This window comes from Homo sapiens, chromosome X (assembly GCF_000001405.40).
Source record: "Homo sapiens chromosome X, GRCh38.p14 Primary Assembly".
Classification (NCBI taxonomy): Eukaryota; Metazoa; Chordata; class Mammalia; order Primates; family Hominidae; genus Homo; species Homo sapiens.
The window spans coordinates 5,904,443-5,931,021 of record NC_000023.11 but is presented as its reverse complement, the minus strand read 5'-3'; the positions used below and the strand labels follow the sequence as shown (position 1 = coordinate 5,931,021).

Genomic DNA, 26,579 nt, shown 5'->3' with positions numbered 1-26,579 from the left:
ATGGAACATTTACTGCCATGAGAGTCCCTTATGATAAGTGGTAGCTGAACTGGAAGTTTAAAGAACTGTGGCAGACAGGATGGGGTAAATCAATAGGATCCAGGACCTAGGAATGCATCAGGAAAGACAGCAACAGGGAAGGATGAGCTAGAGCAATTGAAAGGGTGATACATATATTTGGAGCCAATTCTTTTTATGCTATCATCAAGATAAAACCAGTATTCCTCACCTGGTAGATATTTCTCTTTGCAAAGGTGGATATTCCACAGTTCACTTCCACAGACCTCATGCAAATGTCAGATTCAGCGGGGAGAGGGAGCACCCCAGTTTCTTTGGCAGCACAGAATATAATGCATCATGTTTATTTGCAAGCCTGGAGATATTCTTGCATACATATTTTATCTAGCAGATGACACTGGATCCAATTAATTGGTGGCTTTGAAATATATTTATTGGAATTCATTATTTTGGGTTATAGTTGTTTCTGTGATCCATGCAATCTACCAGGATACTCTTCATGCTTTTGCATTTAAAAGAATGACACCAAGGGCTTGTGAAAGGCACATTCTGGGGTCCATCCCCCACAATTTGTGTTCTGTTGCTTTAGGGGAGGGTGTGAGGATTTGTGCATCTACCTGCTTTCCACAAAGTAGGGTCCCTGCTGGTATAAGGGCACACCGTTTAAGTGCTACTGCACAGAAGCATCAGATGTCATTAAGATTGTGTGTTATCTACATTTCTTATTGTTGCTCAACTGCCAGTTACTCTTTTCATAAAATATGTATCTGTCCTATATAGGGCTAAGAATTAATTTATCCCAGTCTATAACTACAGAGAGAAGCCTACTTAATGAGCATTCTTGATGGGGCATACCACCCATAAATATGGCACCTTAGCATTTGAAAAAACAGAAGAAGCAGGAAAGTTCTCTCTGACCTTCTCCCCATCCTTCTCCCCTAAAGCCAGGTCATAAGACCCTCCTATGAGAGGTGACTCTCTATACCAAGAGGAATAGAACATTCTTATCTCTGAGGACAAAAGGACACAGAGGAGAATCTGAACACACAGGCCTTGCTAAGTTCTCCCCAGTTTTTTCCCATTAGATAATAAACATTTTTACTTCAATCATACTTTCCAATGACTGTCCACTCTTTATCAAACCTAAGTATCTAAGCACAAAAATCCACAGGTTTCCCTGTTTCTTTTGGGTCTTCATTGCCTTATGAAGGCTCCTGTGTCATATAAAACTGTTATTAAATGAAGTGCACTCTTTGCTTAATCTGTCTTTTGTCATAGGGGCCTCAGCCATGAAACTAAGATAGGAAGAAAAGATATTTCTTTTCCCTTATATTATTCAACAATATTCTAGTTATACATGTAAGCTTAACCAAAAGCTTCTAGAATATCAAAGTAATAAGTGTGAAATATGTGTGTGTGCACACATGTGTGCATGCATATATATACACACACTACATTGTAGGTGTGTATATATATGTATATACATATACACATATATATTTTATAAGATGCGTATACACATATACATTTTTGTATGTGTGTGTGTGTGACAGAGTCTTGCTCTGTTGTCCAGGCTGGACTGCAGTGGCGCTCACTGCAACCTCCACCTCCTGGGTTCAAGTGATTCTCCTGTCTCAGCCTCTGGAGTAGCTGAGATTACAGCCATGTGCCACCATGCCCGGCTAATTTTTGTATTTTCTTTTAGTAGAGATGGGGTTTCACCATGTTGGCCAGGCTGGTCTCGAACTCCTGACCTCAGGTGATCTTCCCACCTCGGCCTCCCAAAGTGCTGGGATTACAGAGGTGAGCCACCACGCCAAGCCGGCACATAATACATCTTGTAAAATATATTTAGCAAAGTCTATTTAAAAATAATTAATAGTTTATTAAATCTTATGTAGATTTTTTTTTCAAAATGAACAAGCTTCTGTCTTTCCAACAAAGCTTTGGAAATAATAATCATTGCATTTTCCTCTAACAGGTTAATCAGCAGATCAACTAAAACCAAAATGAGTCTTTCTCTGGGCACGGTGGTGCATGTCTATAGTCCCAGCTACTCAGGAGACTGAGGCAGGAGGATCACTTGAGCCCAGGAGTTCAAGGACCAGCTTGGGCAACATAGCAAGATACCATCTCTAAAAAAAAACTAAAAATTAAAAAAAAAAATAAGTCTTTCTATAACTGTATGACAGGGCTAAGGTGATTTTATTTGACAGAGGAATTAAATTTCAATGTACCAAGTTCTATCCGTATGATATCTTTTCTGATGGTTGGAAGGGCACCAAGGGGCTTCCATGAAGCTCAGTGACAGCATTTTCACATGGAAGTCACTGCAGCGGAAAGTAGGGTACACATTCTTGGTAAATAATATATGATTGCACTATTGATGAATAGCATTTCAAAAGCTCTGCTATTTATTGTCTATTGAAAGATAAATGAATCCAGCAAGTAAACTGCCTAAAATATTTGTACACTGTTATAAAATGTAAACACCTCTATCATACTATAAATCTCCCTCCCCTCCGCTGGAAAAGACTTCAAGCTGAGATCATCCTCGTCCTCATCACATGATTGCTTGGAATAGAGTTGTCCCTGAGGCCACCTGTCACCTAAGAGGACTTGTATTCATTTATTCAGTGTCCATGTAATGAAAGAATAAGACAGACATACTGTGAATATAAGAACACAGAGTTCAAAAGACTATTCTGATTGAGCAGAAGGAAGATACTAAACAAATATTAGATGAACAAAGCTTGTGTGTATGGCTTTGGAAGATAAGCCTAGGATCTTAATCTTGTTTATATAACACAACTATTAAACCTTCCTGCGTAAAATACATTTTAATTGAGACTTAGCATGAAGATAGAACACCAAGTCTGGGCATTCTGAAAAGTTTAGACGCAGAGGAATAACTGGCAGGCAGTGATTTAAAGTGGATACAGATTTTTGCCCTGGAGTTGCAGATGCGTGTAGGAATGAAAAGGAAGTAATGGGTGTGATAACCGATTTAAACACTAATCAGTGAGCCCCAAATATTAACCATATACTGGGATTCTACAAAGAGATGCCATGGTAAAAATATGAATTCAAGTGTTTTAACCTGTATAGCTGGATACATTCTTGTGATATTAACACGGGAAATAAGAAAAGAGACGAGTTTGAATGAGAAAAAGATGTTTAGCTCAATATAGCACACACTGAGCTTTAGGCTCGAATAAGACATCTGAGTGGTGGAAGACTTAGTCAAGCATGGGAGAAGTTAGAGCTGAAACCCAGGTAAAATCCTTCAAGTTACAGGCAGAAATCATTACCAGATGTGTGGTGGAGTCACACGGGGGATGTGAGTCCTAATGCCTGTGCAGATGCATGGGGAATGCAGTGTCTTTTTGAAGGACTGGTTTTAGCGCTGCAAGAAGTAAAGTAAATTCTCTTTTACCTGCATTCTTGTTCCCTCTGGTGCTTTTATGAGGACCTAGGCAAGAATAGTATTGAACCACTTATACCATCCATCTGTTAGAAGAACCTATAATACAGAAATATTTGCTTTGGGCTGAACTCCAAACGTAATACTTAATGATTTCTCTTCAAGTTTGTTGACACATTCTACATCTCCACATACAATTTGCTCCCAGTCGTTTCTGAGATATGCTACAGAAAGTACAATTGATCAAACGTTGGCTGTAGGGATTCAAGAACAGTCCTGTGACTGCATTTTCGTTCCTTCCTGAAACTATTCCAAGGCCATAAAACACCTTTTTTGTGTGAACTGTCTTTCTGTATCCCATTTCAGATGATATCTTCTTTCCTTTAAATACAGTCTTTTATATTTTTCTAATTGTCTGATTGCCAAAACAATATATCTGCATTGCTATAAATTTACAGTATCAAAGATCATACAGAAGAAAAATCTTTTTTAACAAAAGAAAACCATTGTTGATAATTTAGTTTACATACATACATATGTACATACATGTATCCTCTTAGCACTCTGGGGCCCGGAGTAGAGAGCAAACCTGTGAAACAGATAGATAGATAGATAGATAGATAGATAGATAGATAGATAGATAGAAGATATAGAGATATGTTAGAGCTATAGAGATATAGTCTCTAGATAGATAGATAAGAATATCTGTATTCTCTCTCTCTAGACAAATGATTAGGAAACAGTCTATAAGAACGTGTGTGTGTGTGTGTGTGTGTGTGTGTGTGTGTGTATGCTCTCTAGAGGTAGAATATATCTCTCTGTAGGGAGAGAGACTTATGCATGTGTATGTATGTATAAAACAAAGAAACAATAAAAACACAAAGGCCCAAATATCAACCAGAAGAAACTGACCAGCTGTAATGGGACAATTAGAACATCTGTAAGAATATTTGTACTGGATTTAAAATGATAAAGACATAAAAGTTCATGTATTCATCATGACACCCAGAATAAAACTCACTGGTTATATTACTAGGCCACGATCGCATTTTCCTGAATCTTGATCAATAAAAGAATCATGATTTTTTCCCACTTTTCCTATATATATTGAATTTCAGAGTAACTAAAAAATTGGTGATTACAAGTAAAATTTCAGATAATATATGCAGAAAGAACAATACTATCTGAAAATCATTATTTTGTGAAACTCCAAATTAAGTAAGTATATTAATCTGTCCTCACACTGATCTAAAGAACTGCTGGACACTAGGTAATTTATTAAGGAAAGAGGTTTACTTGACTTGCAGTTCCACATGGCTGGGGAGGCCTCAGGAAGCTTACAATTGTGGCAGAAAGGGCAGCAAACGTGTCTTTCTTCACATGGTGGTGGCAGGAGAGAGAAATGAGTGCCCATTGAAAGGGGAAATCCCTTATAAAACCATCAGATCTTGTGAAAACTGACTCACTACCACGAGAACACCATGGGGGAAACTGCCCCCATGATTCAATTATCTCCACCTGGTTCCTCCCACAACATGTGGCCATGGAACTACAATTCAAGATGGGATTTGGGTGGGGACACAGCCAAACCATATCAATAAGAGATCTAGGAAATTATCTCTGATTATTTGAAAAGCTTCGCAGGTTTATATATATATATATATATATATATATATATATATATATATATATATATATGTGTGTATGTATATATATATATATATATATGTGTATGTATATATATATATATATATGGTGGGATTCATTACCAACTGAATGTAATTATCAACCACTCTTAAGATAATTAAAAGTAACACTAGCAGGTATCATGTAAGTCCTTATTAAATTCAGTATAAAGTACAGAGCAGTTCCTGGGTGCGTTGTTTCCTACAAAGGGCACCATAACCCTAAGGAAGAAAAACAAGATGTGATTAGGAAACATTCTGTTAATTCTAGAACATGGGGTGTTCTTCAGCAGTAATGTTCAAAATGTGGTTCACAAAGCAGCAACTTGTTAGAAATGCAAAATTTAAGATCCTATACCTGGGAGGAGGCTTCCTGAATCTAAAATTGAGGGTGTGGGTTGCAAACTATTATTTCTTTCCCAAACCCATCTGTGATGTTTATGCTTGATAAAATTTGATGGGACGGTTCATTGATTTCCATAAGGAATTAACGATGTAAGAAAATGAGAAGAAGAATTGTATTATGGAAAAGAGGGTGTCAATATTTTCACTTGCTTTCTCTTTAAATGTGTGGATCACAAGATTTGCTTTTCATTAAAAGTATTCAGATATATATACGTATTTGAAATACATGTGCCTATACACTAACCCCAAAACAGCTCATTAAGAATCTCTTCCACTGGGACATAGGCATCAGTATTTGTTAAAATATCACTAAGTGTTTAGTGTGGTTGATGAGTGTAGAAAGAATATATTTTCACCAAGCTTATGAGATGGGCAGTTTGGGGCCAGGAGAAGAAGGCAGTGAAAGAACTTGGGTGATAAGCAGCTGTCTACTTGCAAAACAACTTATTATTAATGAATTGGGACTTTAAATTTTTTTTTTTATTTTCATAGGTTTTAGGGGAACAAGTGGTATTTGCTTACATGAGTCACTTCTTTAGTGGTGATTTGTGAGATTTTGGTGCACCCATTACCCAAGCAGTATACACTGAACCCAATTTGTAGTATTTTATCCCCCAACCCCCTCCCACCCTTTCCCTCTGAGTCCCCAGAGTCCATTGTGTCATTCTTATGCCTTTGCATCCTCATAGCTCAGCTCCCACTTATGAATGAGAACATAAGATGTTTGGTTTTCCATTCCTGAGTTACTTCACTTCCAATAATAGTCTCCAGTCCCATCCAGGTAGCTGTGAATGCCATTAATTCATTTCTTTGTATGGCTGAGTAGCATTCCATCATATATTTATGTACCACAGTTTCTTTATCCGCTCGTTGATTGATGGGCATTGGGTTGGTTCCACATTGTGACCCAATGCTTTTAAAATAATGTGTGTGTTTGGCCACGAACATAAGCCAGAACACTAGAAAAATTGTTTACTGAAAGCCATCTTAGTTTCAGGAACACAAAGGAAATGAGGTAATGTGTGAAAAGAACTTTAAAAATTGTAAGGCATTTTGCATAAAGATGTTAGGTGCTTTTTGAAGTTTCTATTTAAATGTGGTCAATTAGAGAGGTTTTTTTTTTTTCATTTTATGTTTGCCTTGAAAGCATTTAGAAGTATGAGAATATATAATTTCATTTTGTAAAACACAATATGTTGAACCTAATAGGATCTTTCTTGGAAACTGAACATTGTCCTGGGTTTTGGAGGCATCCCATTGAAATTTAGCCATGATTCCATATTCAGCAAATTGCTGTGGACCCAGATACATCTTCGCTGACCAGAAGTCTTTCCAGAGTGGAAGATTTTAGTAAATGTACAAGTCAATCTTGTAGAATTAGATAAAATGCATTCTGTTTTCCATCACTTGCCGATATCCCCCCACTGCTAATTAAAGGAAACACAATCCACAATTGATTTACTTATGTAAATGTAGATTACAAACCAACAACATGATTTTAAGAGTCTTAAGAAGTTGAGGGCTATTTTGAATGTTTACTCTTGGAGACATGTATATTTAGGTGTCCTGGTCAACAAGATCAATTGTAGGAATGGTTGGTGCAATCACATTGGTCATTAAATACAGACATCACACATAATCAAGCAGATTTAGCTCAGGGTATGGGTAACTCAACATATGAACACCATTCAAAGTATTTCCCCAAAAGGCTGGCATGGTGGCTGACATGGTTTGGTTGTGTCCCCACCCAAATCTCGTCTTGAATTCTTGTGAGAGGGACCCAGCGGGAGGCAAGTGAATCATGGGGGCAGGCCCTTCCTGTGCTGTTCTCATGATAGTGAATAAGTCTCATGAGATCTGATGGTTTTAAAAAGGGGAGTTTCCCTGCATAAGCTCTCTTCTGTTGTCTGCTGCCATGTGAGACATGCCTTTTACCTTCCACCATGATTGTGAGGCCTCCCCAGGCACGTGGAACTGTTAAGTCCATTAAACCTGTTTCTTTTGTAAATTGCCCAGTCTCAGGCATGTCTCTATGAGCAGTGTGAAAATGGACTGATATAGTGGCTTACGCCTGTAATCCTAGCACTTTGGGAGGGCAAGGCAGGCAGATCGCTTGAGCTTTGCAGTTTGAGACCAGCCTGGGCAACATGGTGAAACCCTGTCTCTATAAAAAATACAAAAATTAGCTGGGTGCAGTGGCACAAGTGTGTATTCCCAGCTACTTGGGGACACTGGGTCAGGAGGATTGCTTGAGCACAGGATTGCTTGAGCTAGAGATGCCCAATGCATCTCAAGGGTGCAGTGAGCCGAGATGGCGCCACTTCAGCCTGGGTGACAAAGTGAGATCCTGTCTCAAAAAATAAAAAAATATTTCCCCAATGGGGACATATGGCTTAATAGTTAGGGTTATTGTTTGTAGTGATGAATAGGTTTGGAAATAGGTAGTGGTGATAATTATACCACATTGTGAATGTAATGAATCCCACTGAATTGTACATTTTAAAATGATCAAAATGGCAAACTTATCCCACACACAAATAAATAGATATAGATATACATAGATATCTTCATATGGTTTTTCTTGTTTTTTAATTTTTTATTTTTTTATTTTATTTATTTATTTATTTGAGATGGTGCCTCCCTCTGTCGCCCAGGCTGGTGTGCAGTGGCATGATCTCGGCTCACTGCAACCTCCTCCTCCCAGGTTCAAGCGATTCTCCTGCCTCAGCCTCTCAAGTAGCTGGTATTACAGGCCTGTGCCACCATGCTCTGCTAATTTTTGTATTTTTAGTAGAGACGAGGTTTCACCATGTTGGCCAGGATGATCTCGAACTCCTGACCTCAGGTGATCCGCCTGCCTCAGCCTCCCAAAGTGCTGGGATTACAGGTGTGAGCCACTGCGCCCTGCCTTCATATAGGTTTTAATATTAGTTTTGCTTAATTTAAAGACAGTTTGAGGCAGTACAGCATAAAGTACTCCCCACATTTCATTTATTTAGTTTTAATTGACAAGTAATAATTGTACATATTTACGGGGTGCATACTGATGTTCCAATACATGTAATATACAGTGATCAGATCTAAGTAATTAGCATATCCATTATCTAAAACATTTATCATTTCTTTGTGTTGGGAACATTCAATTTCCTCCTTCTAGCTATTTGAAACTACATATTATATTATTTTTAACTACAGTCACCCTGCAGTGCTATGGAACACGAGAACCTATTTCTCCTGTTTCCCCCCCTCCCCACGAAGAAATAAAAGAGGTGAAATCTGACACACAAAGCAAAAGGAACAAAGACATTCAGGTACTGGAGTTGAGCATAAATTTTACCTCACAATTTCTGGCAGATAAAGCAAAAAGAGAGAGAAAAACAATTGGTTCTGGGATTAGTATTTCCGGCAAGAGAAACCTTCTCCCTTTTCCCTCTGATTCTTGGTGAAGAGCAGTTATGATGTTGGAGATAAAAGGAGAAGATGGCAGTGATGGTTCCTTGTTCTTTCCTTCTGCAGTGGCTGTCAGCTTCGCCTGTGATATTAACAGTAAGACAGGAAAGCCTGAGACCGCCTCACTAAAGACAGACCCTTCCCATTATGTGTCACGGCAGCCTTCACCCTTGAATCTAGAAAATACTACCTGGGCCGTGCTAAGTTTATTCTTAAAAGCCTAACACCGTGTAGCTACCGCTGCCCAATGCATCTGCCCAAAACAGCACTCCCCAAATCCTGAATATGCATAGAAATAACTTTTCAGTTTTCATGCCTACTGCTGAATTGTACCAACAGAGATTCTGATTTGGAAGTCAGCGGAGGAGTCTATGCAGTTTAAATTTTTACAGACAACTCAAGGTTTTGTGGATATATCCTGAGACAGCTCAGCCCTCCCAGGCTGTTGGTACCATAGGGGCTGGGAGAGATTGCCCTCACTTACCCCGCAAACACCTTGCAGGATGCAGAACAGCTCTTAATAAATATGTGTTATGGAAATAAAGGAATGCCCCTGTGCTTGGAAGTATTAGGCTGCCTCTCTCTCTCTCTGTCTCTGTCTCTCCTCTCTCTCTCTCTCTCTCTCTCTCTCTCTCTCTCTCTCTCTCTGGTTCATTTTCAATGCCGCTGAGTCATACAGTGAGAAGCAGCTTAGGGTCATTAAGAGATTGAAACATCGGAGAAAAAAAGTGAATATGTTTTCATTTGAATCTCTATTTTTAACTCTTTCTGACCTTGTCTGTCAAATTTGGCTACCTTGAGACTGTTGCAGTGATAATGAAATAAGCCTATGCTGTTCTTTGGAATCATTTTAGACATATACATGTCTAATATATATATATATATATATATGTATATATATATATAAAAAATACTTACCATATGTGATCTTGTTTGACATGCCTTTTTTCTATACAAAAGCACATGAATCACCATGCTTCAGCAATGAAGATGTTGTGTTTTGGACTAAAGGCAGTGTAAACACAACATGCTATTAGCGTTTTTCTTAATCATCACTACCACCCAGCCGTTGTCTTCTTGCACAAGATAATAATAGCATCTCACATTTCCATGGAGCTTTATAATGCATGAAGGTCTTTCACATTCATCGTTTTGTTCAATGTCATAGGGAGAGGGAGCTTCAGTAACCTCAAAGCCCAGTGTGCAGAAAGAGAAACTGGGATTGATTCAATCATTTGGCCACAGTCCTAGGACTCTTGAATGTGTGTGTAACTCAGGCAGGGTGAAAATCCCAGAAGATACGTCCCCATCCCAAGGGCACCTACCCAGGTTCAATAACTTGGTTACAACTGACACTCTTTGGATGATGCTGCACTCTTCACAAACACGTATCCAAACCTATCATGAACCCAAACCAGAGCAAACATCAAATCCCCACTCCTACCACATATTCACATCTTGTATTAACACCAAAGCCTGAAGCACCCTGACAACATGTGTCCAGAAGATGTTGAATGTCTTCCACCCTGACTGCCACTAACCTGGTTAAAGCCAGGACCAACTTTCACCTGGACAACTGCAGTGGACTTCTTCCAAATGCACGCTCCTGCAGTCCTGTCCACCAGTGGCTCCTGTGAGCTTTACGAAACCATAAATCCTATCACATCCCTGCCATGTTCCAACTCTTATGCCTTGTCATTGCTTTACAATAAATTCCAACATTTTACTCTCTCTTTCAAGTGTGAACTCACTTTGCCTACTACTGGAATAACGTTCTTTCACATTTCCTTGCTAATTATGAGTCAGCTACACCGGGACTCCTTCTGTTCTCCTCACCCTTTAAACATATTTCCCATTTGAAACTTCGCAACTCGTAATTCTTTTCAGGAATGTTTCCCTTTCATCATCTTGTAGCTGCTTCGTTGTCATCATTTCCTTTCATTTCCACCTCTTCAGAGAGGCTTTGTTTAGAAGAAAACATAGGAGCAAATATTTGCCAGCTAGGGTTATGCAAAAGTTTCTTACATAGAACACAAAATGTAAGAACCGCAAGAGAATGTATTGACGGGGCCTTCCAGACACCATGAAGAACTCAGAGAGCAAGCTTCAGATTGAGAGAAAACATTTACAACTAATATAGCAGAGAATTGACTTGTAACTAGAATATATAAAAATATCTCCCAACTCAATGATAAGTCAGGCAACCTGCAGAGCAGCAGTCCTCAACACTTTTGGCACCAGGGACTGATTTCACGGAAGATAATTTTTTCCAAGTAGGGGAACGGTTTCAGTATGAAACTTCCACCTCAGATCATCAGGCATTAGATTCTCATAAGGAGCAGGCAACCTAGATCCCTCACATGTGCAGTTCACAGTAGGGTTCACACTCCTATGAGAATCTAATGCCACCGCTGAACTGACGAGAGGTGGAGCTCAGGTGGTAATGTGAGTGGTAGGGAGTGGCTGTAAATACAGATGAAGCTTCCCTCGCTTGCCCACCACTCACCTCCTGCTGGCCCAGTCCCTAACCAAAACTGGTCCATGGCCTGGGGCTTGGGGACCCCTGCTGTAGAGGACAGAATAACAGCCCCCTACATATGTTCACATCCTACCTTATGCAGTAACACGGACTTGACTGACGTGATAAAGATTTTGAGATGGGGAGAGTATCTTCAAGTATCTAAGTGAGCTCAGTGTAATAAAAATATCCTTATAAGACAGAAACTGGAAGCTTGGAACAATAGAAGAGCTGAAGGTGAAACAGACGTCAGACAGAGATTAAGATGCTATGCTACATATATATATATATTGCCCAGGAGGATTGCTTTGTTGGAGCCTATAAAGGTTTGTGAGATAAAAGTTCTGAAGTGGAGAATTGTTACTATGATGGTTGCTTAAAATCTAGTTTTTAGAACAGAGATGAGTTTGACTGTAGCTACTCTGGTATGTGATCCATTTAATCATTTTTTTGTTTAATTAATTCTCAGAGAGAAATCTTAGCCCCAGCTATTTAAATCTCTCCGTAAATAAAGACTTCCAAGCACCACTGGGACAGTTACCAAAAATGACAAATCATTGGCAATTCTAACAATAAACTTCAGTATAGTAAGAGATATAATGGAACTCTGTAACTGCTCTCAAATCAAACATCCCTCCTGCTTAGTGAAAACAGAATTGCACTAATTTCTCTGATGCAGTCTCAAAATCGAGCCACCATTTCAGGTTTTGTAAGAAAAGTTGCGGACTTCAGGCTTAGAAAAGACATCCCAGTTATGCATTGTGGCTGAGGATAACAGGAAGATGAGAATTAGGATGTAGCTATCTTCAAAAAGAAAAGTGGCAAAAAGAAAAGAAAAACCTTAATGTTAGAACATATAAAAATAGTATAAATAATTAAGAACTTAAAGAGGCAGAGAGTTTGGTTAAAGCGGCAAGCCAGCAGGACAATTTTAGTGTGTAGCTTAAGGTACAATACATGCATAATTTGCCCTTCCTCAATTCTAGAAAATATTGTCTGTCTTCTTCAATAACCTTTCTATTCCTGAAACTAAGCATTCCACTGGGATTTTAGCTATTTTATGTGCTGTCATATTTACTTTGCTAGCGTGCATGTGATTACACCTAAGTTCTAATTCGTCTAATATATGTGCATTACTTTTTCATTCATCTAATATGAATTCTAGTTCATCTAATATAGTGTTGTATAAGTTGTCTTTTTACTTATGTGCATTTTACAGTGCCCTGAATAGCACTGAAGTACAAAAATGTATCTTAATATGTGTTTTATCTCCATACTTTGATGGTGAAAAATATTACTTTCCATTCAAATGAGTTTTAAAATAGTCTCATTAAAAACAAATGAAAACGTAAATAAAAAAAAAAAAACCTTTTCTGTAATTTTTCAAGATATCTATGGAAATGCACTGAACTACCGCATCATTTTCCCCCAGATTTTGCTTGGGTCATCATGGCTACTTCATACATTGTTGAATGAGCATTTGCCGTAAATCTCATAGCATAAGTAAAAGCTATGATGTGTTTTTTGCCTTGTCTTTCTCTTTTCACTTTAAACACATAATAAACACTTAGTAAGCAGATTGAATAAATACATACCCCCTTTATGCAAAATTATTCACAAATAAATGGTATCTAATTCATTCTTTAAAATACCATCAGAGAACACACAATCTCGCTTTACCATCTGTATAATTTTAGAGTCAGAGTCTAATTTGACCAGCAGTCAATTTTTTCCCTTTGGACTCCTTTCATATATTTGAAGGACATTTCTTTGTTCCTAGTATGTGTAGATGAAGCAAAACTAAACTGCATGGCTTCTGATATTCATGAAAGCAGGCTAGTAGGTAACCATTTTTGAACACATTCCACACCAAGCGCAATGCTGTTTCTTGTGCATTGTCCAGTTGAGTTCCTCAGCTTGCTATGGGAGGGCTACTATTCTCCTCCCCATTTCACATATAAAGAAAGTGGGACTTTGAAATCTTAAGTCATGTGCTTAAGGCTTTGCAATAGATTCCACCACAAGGATGTCCAACTGAATCCACTGCAAGCAATAACTCCAAAAGCAGTCACCAAGCAAATGCCCTTGGTGTAAAGTGATACGTTCTGTAACAGAAATTCATTGAAAGCCATTTACTGTGCCGAGAGAATAAAGATAATCACACAGGACACTTTTGGAAAGGGGCCCACATTGGTAGAAAGAGATGGCCAGGTTCTACCTGAGTATGCAGGTGACCCCTGCGGAAGATGCAGAGACTGACCTTCAGGTCACACTGACCTTTCAAATGGTGCTGGGTCCATGAGCTAGCCGTGCAGCTTTGTGTGCGGCCATAGCCCACAGGAAGGTGTGCTCAGGCAAGGTGTTCAGGGCAATTTATGGTCGCCCAGCAGCCCTGCAGAGGGCGCCCTAGATCTTGGGGATTTTATATAAAAAGGCAAGCATATCAAAATGCAAGGCATATTCTGGAAATAGCTAGCAAGTGTTGTGGTGGATTTGCAGGCTCCAGAACATAAGTAGGGCATCCCTTGAGAAGGTCACATGGGCCCACACAGAATGACCCTTGGATTCCCAGTAATGAATTTGTTTCTCCAACACATTCACTTTATTGTGTGGGTGTGATTGTTGTTGCTAAAAAGGGAGATTTAAATTATGAACTAAATATAAACAGATATTAGCAATAAAACGTGAATATTCCCTATAGTCACATGCTTCGAAATAATCACCCTCCACTGTTTGAATTCCTTCCAGATTTTATTTTTTAATAAAACAAATGGGCTGGACGCAGTGGTTCATGCCTTAATCCCAGGACTTTGGGAGGCCGAGGCGGGTGGATCACTTGAAGTCAGGAGTTCAAGACTAGCCTGGACAACATTGCAAAACCCCATCTCTACAAAATATACAAAAATTAGCAGCAAATGGTGGCACATTCCTGTAATCCCAGCTATTTGGTGGGCTGAGGCAGGAGAGTCGCTTGAATCCAGGAGGCAGAGGTTGTAGTGAGCTGAGATTGCACCACTGCACTCCAGTCTGGGAAGCAGAGCGAAACTCTGTCTCAAAAAAAATACATAAAAATATAAAATAAAATAAATGATATGTAGTATTCAGTAGCCCACTATTTTTTCTTGAGATACCTTAGATGTGTTTCTGTGTCCATGAGTGTAAATACTCCTTAGCACTTTATGCAGACAAACAGCATCTCATAATATGGATCCAACCAAGACAATCCATTCAAATCTCTGACTTGTGAACATTCAGCTTGCTGCTATTGTTTGTTTTTAAAATTACAATCCGTGTGAATTGTGGAGCCTTGGGTGGCTATTTTTATGCATCAGAATAAAGATTTTCATAGAAAGCATTCAAAGAATTAGGACTCCTGGGTCAGAAGTTTCCAATTTTCATTTTCCTGGGTTTTACCCATTCTCTTACACTGGAGACCATCATGATGATGTTGATGGTGTGGAAATTCAGAGGAAGCTAAAAGGACGTAGCACCCAAATGAGCAGGTCCTGGGGAACTGTAGTTCTCATCTCAGACACTAGGATGCAGACCCAGGGAGGGACAAGATGTACAAGCTCTTTGAAAACTAAAACCAAAGGATGTGACAGCCAATTGAATGAGAGTCAGCAGCAAATCTGGAGAAATATCTAAGGAGAAAGTGTTCAGTTGAAAATACTCAAAGTTGGCTGGGCATGGTGGTTCACACCTGTAATCCCAGCACTTTTTGGAGGCTGAGGCAGGGAGATCACTTGAGCTCAGGAGTTCGAGACCAGCCTGGCCAACATGATGAAACCCCGTCTCTACTAAACATACAAAAATCAGCTGGGTGTGGTGGCGTGTGCCTGTAATCCCAGCTACTCTTGAGGCTGAGGCAGGAGAATTGCTTGAATCCAGGAAGTGGAGGTTGCAGTGAGCCAAGATCACACTGCTGCACTCCAGCTTAGGCGACAGAGCGAGAGTCTGTCTCAAAAACAAAAAAAGACTCAAAGTTGACTCAAAGAGATTTGTTTCCAGGCTGGCTATTCCCAAATTTTCATTTGCATGAAACTCATGTATCAATTATCTTCAGATTTTGATGTTTTATTATTTAATAAACAAGCTGTATTTATTATTTTATATTTTGTTCCTAAAATATGATCAATTTCAGTTTTTTTTTATTTCATGTAATTTAAACTAAAGCACTTAAAAAATACCTATGCAGCTTAATTCTAGATAAATGTGTGGAGATATTATCTTTTATGAAAATACTGCAAGGAATCTCAGTAGTAGTTCATAGGCCCCAGAGTTTGGAAACCTGTGGTATAAAAATCATTTGTCTCTTATAATTGTTTTAGATTTTCTCTACTGATATTGGAAATAGACTTTGGTTCTGTGCAATACTGCTGTGATAACATGATACAAATGGAGAATGGTCTGCTAGTACTCATTCCATTTTTAAGTAAAAACTAAAAATAAAAGGCACTGAATTTCAAGCAGCCCTGCCTATCAGGCAACAGAATTTGAATGCAGTGCATCAGCTTCCCTCCCTTCCAGCCCATCCTGTGCAATGTGTGCTTCTGTGTTAAATCCTACATGTTTTCAGTCAGAAAGTTAAAGGTTCACCTTGTAATAAATGCATTTCATGAATGATTTCCTATAACCGTCAAAGATTAGTTTTGCATCTGTTTGACTGATTTTTGTTTTTTATGCTTCTGCTTTCATTCTAACCAAACAGATTTCTTTTTGACCTCATTTGCATGATCTAACACAAATTCTGTTTATTCTCACTGAAGAATTTTTATTTAAACATTTTCTGTTTGGTGTCACTTCTTTAGTTTAAAGGTGCACAAATGTATGTCTGTGTACATATACATTTATAGTCACACATGCATATATATGGTTATATATGCATATATATATATATATACATACATATATTATATATATATACATACACACATATCAGGTGAATTACACACACTGAAATGGTGAAAGATATTTAACTTCTGTATTCACTTAATTATCTCCTGGTTACTTGTCTCCAAAAAATGCCTACTGTGTTTATGCAAGGAATGATCTCCTAAAAGAAAATGGATTGCAGCTTTAACGTCATGTAACAATGTCTTTTGTTAATTGAAAGAAAAACAATATCTGACCCCATTGGGTTCCTTACCATTTACTTGCAGTGCATGGAGAAACAAAAGACCTGCAGTCATTCTCCTAAGCCCTGTGATGTAATTCAAAATGAGAGGAAACATCTACATTATTATCTATAATAAAAATTGGAAACTTTTCTGTTGTGACAACAATATTAAGCCTGAATAGAAATATTCATGTTTATATGATATTCACTTCAGTCAACATGCAGCAGGAAAAACTGTGATTCCTATTTTTAGTCATCTTTTCCATGAAACCTGTTTCTAAATAACCATACTAACTAAATGTACTAGTCTGTTCTCATGCTGCTAATAAAGACATACCTGAGACTGGGTAATGTATAAAGAAAAGAAGTTTAATGGACTCACAGTTCCACATGGCTGGGGAGGCCTCACGATCATGGCAGAAGACAAAGGAGAAGCAAAGTCACATCTTACATGGTGGCAGGCAAGAGAATGTGTCCAGGGGAACTGCCATTTATAAAACCATCAGATTTCATGACACTTATTCACTATCATGAGAACAGCATGACAAAAACCCACCCCCATGATTCAGTTACCTCCTACTGGGTCCCTCCCATGACACATGGGGATTATGGGAGCTACAGTTCAAGATGAGATTTGGGTGAGGAGACAGCCAAACCAGATCACTGAACGTATCTATTGATATCTCTTGTGTGTGTATATTTGTTATTGTTGTTCCTTCCAGGACCCTGGATGAAACTTGGCATCAATGTAGCCATTAACATGGATTCATTCACATGGTCTCTTTTGCATCTTTCTTTCGTTGTTCAATTATTGGAGGAGAGGTTGCTGATTACAAGCTTCATATTAGGGAGAGTAAAGCTCAGAAACCAAAATTTCATCGGCTAAAATGCTTAGAGAGTTTGTAGCCTAAAGGACCTGTCAGTTAAAGGAGCCATTTGTTGTAAATCTCTGGTTTTAGACAATCAAGTAGCTTGTTCTCTTCATTCACCTTGAACATATATTTAAAGTTAAGTGATCTATCCGAGGAATGACTTCTCAGGAGCAGCACTCATCTTTGGTATCATGTGTGGCTCTTTCCAAGTTGATGAGCTACCATCATTTTGCTTTCTACAATCAGGAGGCAAAACCCAGTGGTTTAGGTTTGCAGGATTCCTAAAAATATTAATTTTAATTTGCTACAATAAATACCAGGATTCCTGGTGTCAAAAAGCTTGCAAAAAATCACACCATTAGAATTTTTTAAGATCACTCTTTATTTACACTTAAGAAGATAGCTTTGCCAGGAAAATGCCTGCCTTCCTTCTTTCCTTCCCTCCTTCCTTCCTTCCTTTCTTCCTTCCTTCCTTCCTTCCCTCCCTCCCTCCCACCTTCCTTACTTCCTTCCCTCCCTCCCTCCTACCTTCCTTCCTTCCTTCCTCCTGCTCTCCCTCCCTCCCTCCTTCCCTCCCTCCCTCCTTCCCTCCCTCCCTCCTTCCCTCCCTCCCTCCTTCCCTCCCTCCCTCCTGCCTTCCTTCCTTCCTTCCTTCCTCCCTCCTGCTCTCCCTCCCTCCCTCCTTCCCTCCTTCCCTCTCCCTGCTCCATCACATCACAGAGCTGTAGTGTGCTGCCTGTTCCTTGCCTCCAGTCTTATTCACAGGAAAACCTGGCCAGGTGCTGATGAATAAAGAAGAAGACAGATTGATAGTGAGATCTAATTTTCACAGATCAGGCGACTTGGGAAAACAGGTCTTTTTATTTTCAAATGCTAACTTTCTGGGCTCATAGAATTCTGTATCAGTAAGCCCACATGCTTTTTAAGTCTGATTTATAGAAAACATGATTTGGCCCTCAAAACAATGTAACCTCCCAACAGATTCATCTTTACCACTACACAGATAGAGCTGATTAGTCAAGACAGAAGAATTGCAATAGATAAAGGGTTTAATTCCTGCAGAGCTGGCTAAATGGGAGACTGGAGTTTTATTGTTACTCAAATCAGCCTTCCCAAAAATTTGGAGGCTTGGGTTTTTCCAGAATACTTTGGCAGACAGGGGCTAGGGAATGAGTGCTGCTGATTGGTTGAGGATGCAATGATAGGGGTGTGGAAAACAGCCCTGGTGCACCCAGTCGGCCTCTATGTGGGGACACAGAGGAGTCACTGGTCCTAGTAGGACCAATCAGTTGTCAGAAATGCAAAAGCCTGAAAAGACATCTTAAAAGGCCAATCTGTACTATGCTTATTACCTGGGTAATGAGATAACCTGTACATCAAACCCCTGTGACATGCAGTTCACCTACATAATAAACCTACAGGTATACCCCTGAACCTAAAATAAAAGTTTTAAAAAGGCAAATTTTAGCTTCTAGTGATTGGGGAAGTTGCAAATCTTGTGACCTCTGGAATAATGGCTGGTAATCATTCAACTAAGCTTACATCTTAGCAGAATTCAGGCCTCTCTCATTCTTTAACCTGGTGGCCTTTCATTACTTTTACAAAGGTGGTTTAGTTTTAAGAGGGGCTATTATCATTTAAACTACAAGTTCAATTTCTCCCAAAGTTAGCTTGGCCCGTGCCCAGGAATGATCAAGAACAGTATGGAGGTTAAAGGCAAGATGGAGTTGGTTAGGTCAGATCTCTTTCACTGTCATAATTGTCTGACTATTGTAAGTTTTGCAAAGGTGGTTTCAAGGTGAAAGGACTATACTCTTAAAGAGCATAAAATTATTGCATTCATTGTGTACCTGAAACAGGCACTCCCCCTTGTTGATAGTTTAAAAAGAAAAAAATAATAATCCCTGGATGTTGCAATAAATGAAAATGCCATGGCAGAAACTGTGGAAACACCAGCCTCAAAACACCACATTGATTTGTTAAACTTCAGAGATCCATGGATTGTCGTTTCCCTCAGCCAGCCTGTAGGATATTTGGAAGAATTTCAGAACCTCAAAGATCAAACCATCCAATAGGATGCTGTTAGAAGAACTAAGATTTTTGAAGGCAGGGGATATTCATTAGCCTGCTTTTGGAAAGGTTAAAACACTCTGATTTTGCTAGGGAGGAAGAGTTTATGGTGGAAGAAAGGCCAATGATTTCCTGCGTGTTGAAAATCTTCATACTCCTCCACAGAAACAAAATAAGTCAACAAGTCATTCTGCAGAATTGAGAAAGAGAGAACAGTGAGTGAAGAAAAGACGTGCTGAAGACAGAATCGTTCTGTTAGAAAATTGCTCGTGCCTTAGGAATTAATCACCTCTTTCTTTAATAGGGGAAGAAAGCATTGCCCTGTGGTATTATAGGGCACCTAAACTGACATGATTCGTCATTGTCATATAAGGATCTTCGATCTTTTCTCCCAAGCAAAGCCTGATGCCTTTTATGAACGATCGTGTCAAAGATATAGTGATGGAGACAGGTGTTGCAGAACATTTTTGGCATGAAGCACTAATTAGTAATTGCTAATTAAATGGGGGAGGAGGCTTGGGTAATGTCTGATCGCACCCACTAATCGTAGCTAATCTCCCGTCACATCCCTCTGAACTTTAAAGAAGATCACATTGGTAGGATGTGTCTTAAGTATCCAACCTCGCAGTTGCGACGCTGCCTCTCTTTGAAGCTGCAGGAGATAGTGACTCCCGATTCAGGCTTGGAGTTTTTATTGTCATTGTTGAACGAAAATCGTCCTGTGACTTTCTTTGGAGCCAGGCCATTTCCTCCTTTCCAGCTCAGAGCATTTTTCCACAGGTGCTCAGGAAAGCTCATGGAAGAAATGCTGGTTGACTCAATTGGTATGCAGCCTCATCCTCTACTCTTTTTGTTTTAAAAGTAGAAGCCGGCACTCAGTCACTCCTTGGAATGCCGTCAACTTTGGTTAGGGACGTGCTTTGAGGGAATTGGTTTGATGTTATTTTAGGGCTTAAAGCAGCCTGTCTTCATACAAACATGACTGCAGGTGGCCATAATAATGTGCTGAGCATCCCTTGAAATGAGTGAATGACATGGCTCTTGGAAAAAAGAAATTGTATAGAAGGGGCAAATATCATAGTTGGGTAGTTGGGGAAGGCTCAAATAAGGACGTGAAAATGGTTAAAAAAAAAAACTTTTAAAAATTCTTTGTCTTTTTGGAAGGCATATCCAGTACAGATTTGGACATAAAGTTGGATTAAAGTTTATGCAATGAACTAAACTTGCAGGAGGCCTTAGAAAATATTCCTAGTTTTGAATCTGAGTAGGAGAGTGTATGTCTTCCCAAACTTGACTTCAAAACATCAGAAGAAAGCAGTTTTTCCAGGTCAAGCTATTTTTCAATACAGAAGGAACAAAAAATAAAATAGATTAACTCATAACTTTGCTATCATTAATACCAAAATTGCCATTTTTCAACTACTAAGGAGAAATTAAGAATCGTATGCCTTGAGTAAAATCTAGATCCTCAACTCACAGAATCCTTCTTTTTAAAATAAGGAAGGCCAGTTCCTGATATTTTGGGAACAGTTGGGGAGATGTGAATATTCATTAGCTTTTGGGTGAGGTTCAATAATTACATTTTTTTGTATGTGACTAATATTTTCGCTATGTAGGAAAATAGAGGTGTATACTATTTACGAGTCGGATCTAGTGGAGTCTGTAACTTACGTTGTTTCTTAAGCATTGAAAGGAGTTAAAACAAAATGTTAATAACTAATTCAGTGAGAAAGACAGGCGCACACTGCCTTTGTATACATGCACATATTCTTAGACACAGACACACATGTGCACTTACGCCCCCTCCCCCCCCCACACACGTACTGTTTTCCCTGAAAAATTTCTTGTAGGAGTCTGTTGCATTTTTCAAAAAAGAAAATGAAAATGTGCACAGAAATGATACCTTGAACCTAGTAAAATTTACGACGTCTTCTGGGATTGCTTCATGTTATTAATATTTTAGATTCATTTTGCCTTCTCTATTAGCCACATATATACACAAAGATGCCATGGTATCATAACATCAACCTAAAATAACCATTATTTATATAATTATTTCTGCCACAAAATTTTTTCTCCTGTTCTTCCTCTAATTGGTGGGGGTGAGAGTTGAGGAGAGAGAGAATGAAGAAGACAAGCTATGAGATATCTTTTCAAATAGCAGAGACACGTATGCACTTTTTCTATTTGGCCACCAAAAATATCTTGTGTTCTTTTGTAGGGTTTTTAAGTACCGGTGACCAGGCAGCAAAAGGCAACTATGGGCTCCTGGATCAGATTCAAGCACTGCGGTGGATTGAGGAGAATGTGGGAGCCTTTGGCGGGGACCCCAAGAGAGTGACCATCTTTGGCTCGGGGGCTGGGGCCTCCTGTGTCAGCCTGTTGACCCTGTCCCACTACTCAGAAGGTAATAATGGCACCCCCAGGGTGGGCGGGCAAATACCCTGAACCAAGAAATGAATGGTCAGAGTTCATATCTCAGATGCATGTCCTGGTTACCAGAAGTCACTCTGGCAACAGAAAATGCCCAAAAGATCAAATGAATCCATCTTCATGTCTTTTAACTCAGCTTTTGTTCCATTTGCTCTGTCACCCAGGCTGGAGTGCAGTGGTATGATCATAGCTCATTGTAGCTTCCAACTCCTGGGCTTAAGGCTTCTCCCATCTCAGTCTCCTGAATACCTGGGACTACTGGCTGCTTTTTAAAATTTTTTATAGAGAAGTGGTCTTGCTATGTTTGCCTGGGCTGGTCTCAAACTCCAGGACTCAAGCGATCCTCCTGCCTTGGCCTCTCAAAGTGCTGGGATGACAGATGTGAGCCACCATGCTTGATCAGTAATATTTTTCTCCTAATTTAAATGTGTGACAATTAGGTGTTGGTTACAATGATTGGAACAAAATAACTACTTTAGAAGTCCTGACACTTTTGTTTTTTTTTGCCATTCTGACTGTATTTGACTATTTGAAATTTTATTAACTTCTAGCTACAACTTAGTAAAAGTAGTATGGAAGAGAGACAGTATGTCGATAAGGGATGCGGGTGTATAGATTTTGTAACCATCAGGGCTTTTAGCCACATGTTTTTTAAGAAGTCGCTCCTCTCTCTAATTCATATTAATTCTTTAAATCTTCTGGAAATATTGAAACACGTCTGGTGCATTCATTTAGAAGTAGATTCTGGGTAGAAGTAGATTCTACCCAGAGGAATAGTGTCTCTCTCCCTGATGGTCTCCCTCCCTCCCTTGCTCTTCCCCTCCCATTCTTCTCTTTCCCTCTCTCGTCCTCTCTGTCTCTCTCCCTCTCTATGTCCTCCTCCCTCTACCTCTCTCCTGCTCCCTCTCTCTCTTTTGCTCTGTCTCTCACCCTCTCTCTCCCCCTCCTTCCACTGTCTCTCCTCCCTCCCTCTCTCTCTCCCCCTCACACTGTCCCCCCACTCTCCCTGTCTTTCTCCCTCTCTCTCTCTTCCTCTCTCTCCTTTTCTCTGTCTCCCCACTCTCTTACTCACTATCTCCTTTCCTCTCTCTCTTTCCCCCCTTTCCCTCTGTCCCTCTCTCTCTTTGTTTCTTTCTCTCTCTCTCCCTCCCTTTCTTCTTCTCCTGCAAATATGACTTTCACCAAAGGACCTCCTTCCTGGTCAGGTCAGCATGCAGCACTAGGGAGTGTCCAGAGTTTGCTTTCCCCTCTCCCTTCCTCTCTCTCTCTCCTGCAAATATGACTTTCACGAAGGACCTCCTTGCTGGGCCAGTCAGCACGAGGTCCTCTGCTTGTCCCCGTGGGAGCTCCAAACCCTCCCTGGGGCCCTGCTATTAACCTGGAAAAAGCTGATGTTGGCAAAGTGGAGAAAGAGGAAACCACAAAAACACATGTGCATCATGTTACCTCAACCAGATGTGCACTTGAACGTGTAGTCAGCATAGGCACCCGTACCCAACCAGATGTGCACTTGGACGCCTAAGCAGTAGATGGTTATGCTGCCTAAGTAATGGTCAGCATAGGCAGCCACACCCCTGAGCCCTGCTGGAGTGCCTGAGGCTTTCCCCGGAGGCTCACTCAGTGGATTCCCAGCTGTCCCTTTGTGAAGGAGGCTCCCTGCAGTATCCGATGAGAGACTTCAAAGAGGAGTCCACAGGAATTTGAGGCAATTGGTTCTGGAAGCAGGATCACAAATTCCTGGCTGTGGCCTAAAAGGAAGAGGCAGGAAAATCTGCAGTGCAGATCCAGCCCTGGGTTGCCTGGCCACACGCAAGTGAATATTCCTAATAGCCGTCTCAGTCATCAAGACAGCTTTGTAATTTGTTCTGTGTTGTCAGTGGTCTTCAGAATGGCACCACACTGACTGAACCTGAAGTTCTCAAAACCTTCATGGAATTTTTTTTTTTTTTCAGGGAGTCTCACTCTGTCTCCCAGGCAGGAGTGCAGTGGCACAATCTTGGCTTACCGCAACATCCACCTTCTGGATTCAAAGCGATTCTCCTGCCTCAGCCTCCCGAGTTGCTGGGATTACAGGCGCCCACCACTGTGCCCGGCTAATTTTTGTATTTTTAGTAGAGATGGGCTTTCACCGTGTTGGCCAGGCTAGTCTCGAACTTCCTGACCTCAAGTGGCCCACCCACCTCGACCTCCCGAATGATTATTTTTAAAGTTATCAGCTGGATATGGTGGCTCATGGCTGTTATCCCAGCACTTTGGGAGGCTGAGCGGGGAGGATGGCTTGAGCCCAGGAGTTTGAGACCAGCCTGGTCAACATAGCGAGACCCCGTTTGTACAAAAATGAAAATAAAAACCAGCTGGGCCTGGTGGCGCATGCTTGTGGTCCCAGTTACTTGGGGGGCTGAGGTGGGAGGATCGCTTGAGCCAGGGATGTCGAGGCTGCAGTGAGCTGTGAGGTTCCACTCCAGCCTGGGTGACAGAGTGAGACCCTGTCTCAACATACATACATACATACATAAAATTAAAAAGTATCTTTCTTTAGAGTAACTGCAGGACTTTCTTCACTTCGGCACCGTCTGGACAAGTTTCTGGATCGCTGTGCTCCTCAGTGTCTTCATTGGCAAGATAGGACAGATGAGGGTTTCCTGAAATCCTCCAAACTCTGAATTCCTTGAGTTTTTAGTTCATAATGTTTTGCCCATGAGACCAAATGGCCTTTGATTTCTTACTAGTGCTAATGAGAGGAAAGGCTCATATTTGTATTAACTTTATTTCAAAAACACGATAAGTGAAGAATCTGATGAACCATTTGGTAGAGAGATTTCTATGGCATTTTTGAAAATACCTCGATTTTCACTTTTCTCAATTGATATAATCACAATTGTAGATTTAGAAAGCAGTCAGAACCAACTTCAGGAGTAATCAAACACATGTAAGCCACATTAATTGGAGGGAGGTGTTAATTATTTAAGTCAATAGGTTGGAAATTATTATACTTTTGCATCGGTCATTTCTGCAAGGCATGCTTCTAAACAGCCCATCAATATAATCACGAATTATGAAAAATACAAGCCAGGCACTGAGGCTCCTGCCTGTCTATCATCCCAGCAATTTGGGAGGCCAAGGTGGGCAGATTGCTTGAGTCCAGGAGTTCAAGACAAGCCTGAACAACATGGCGAAACCCCGTCTCTACAAAAAAGAGACGCATCTGTTGTCCCAGCTACTTGGGAGGCTGAGGTGGAAGGATCATTTGAGCCTGGAAGGCAGAGGCTCCAGCGAGCCAAGATCCCGCCACTGCACTCCAGCCTGGGTAGCAGAGTGATACCTTGTCTAAAATAAAAATAAATATAGCCAGACTGTTTGCCTTAGGAATTCCTTGCCTGGTTATATGGTCTAATGAAGACAAAGTACACGTGGAAAGTGATAGTTTTATGAAGATGTTCACCACAGTATTAGTATCGTAGCAAAGAATGAAATGAAAAGCTACAAGATCAAAAGGAGAGGAAAATTATAATGAACCATATGTATTTACTCAATAATAATTTAAGAATTTACCTAAGATATACATCAGCTGGAAAAACAGTTTAGACAGCTATATAAATATTGGGCTCAGCTATGCAAAACAGACATTTGAATGGAGGGAAAGAGCTAAGAATTATGTGAACTCCTAGCATACTCATTACGCTAAGGTGAGTTGTGTTTAAAGTATGAATTCTGGGTGATTTTTTTCATTATCCAACTATTTTAGTCTTATCAGGAGTTCTGTTACTTCCCTAACATACAAATAAATGTTTTATGTATGTTACTTTATATACACTACTGCCTAAATTATTGCCAGTACTTATGAGAAGGGCGGGAAAGGAACTTCTCACAGCATTTTTTCCAATTCTGAATGTTTTAACTAATGAAAGTATCCAATAGAATACATATTGACTTTCTCTTTTGGTTTTTTTTTTTTTGGACATTTTAAAATAATCTTCAGAGCCAAGCACTCAAGTCAATACTTGCACATTTCTGACAGAAACGTTCCCAGGATGGCTTTGATGACATACTGGTCAAAGCCATATTGGTTTCAAGTTGCGGTCCTGTGTGTCATCTTTGGGCAATCCTCCAGTCTTTAAAATCACGTCTTCCTGATGACAGTTATATTTTCCTCATATTTGATTGCTTCTGTGACCTTAAAAATCGACAGGGCATGAACTTCTGGACTCACAACTGAATGCCTTATTCTTTAGTGCCCGACTCGGGCTGGGATTCACGGAAATGGCAGGAAGCAAGTGTAAATGGAATGCTGATTTTTACAGCGCACCTCTCTTGTCCTATCGTAGTTAAAAATACAGATTTTATACTTCTGGACATCCGTGTAGTAGACTGAACTCATGGAGAATTTTAAGCTACACAGAATTTTACTCCTAAAATTGCCCATGCTTTTTCAAGTTTCTCAGCAAGTGGAGCATTTTTATATGTGGCAAAATAAAATATACACATCTCTGAGTTTCCAATGGATGTAGTTTTGAAAGAAGTGACCTAAAAAATACTCCTTACTTGGGCACCCAGTTGAGGATTTCTTTAAGCATAGCTAGCTGAA

At 39.9% G+C, this 26,579-nt stretch overlaps 1 protein-coding gene across 17 annotated transcripts in view; it reads left to right on the top strand.

The window, feature by feature from the left end:
* Positions 1-26,579, top strand: part of NLGN4X (neuroligin 4 X-linked) — a 338,826-nt gene that overhangs the window by 297,846 nt on the left and 14,401 nt on the right. For all 17 annotated transcript variants that reach the window (NM_181332.3, XM_005274564.4, NM_001282145.2 and 14 more), the window contains one exon: positions 21,783-21,968. In NM_181332.3, the coding sequence (NP_851849.1) occupies positions 21,783-21,968 (186 nt within the window). The remainder of the gene's footprint in view (positions 1-21,782; positions 21,969-26,579) is intronic.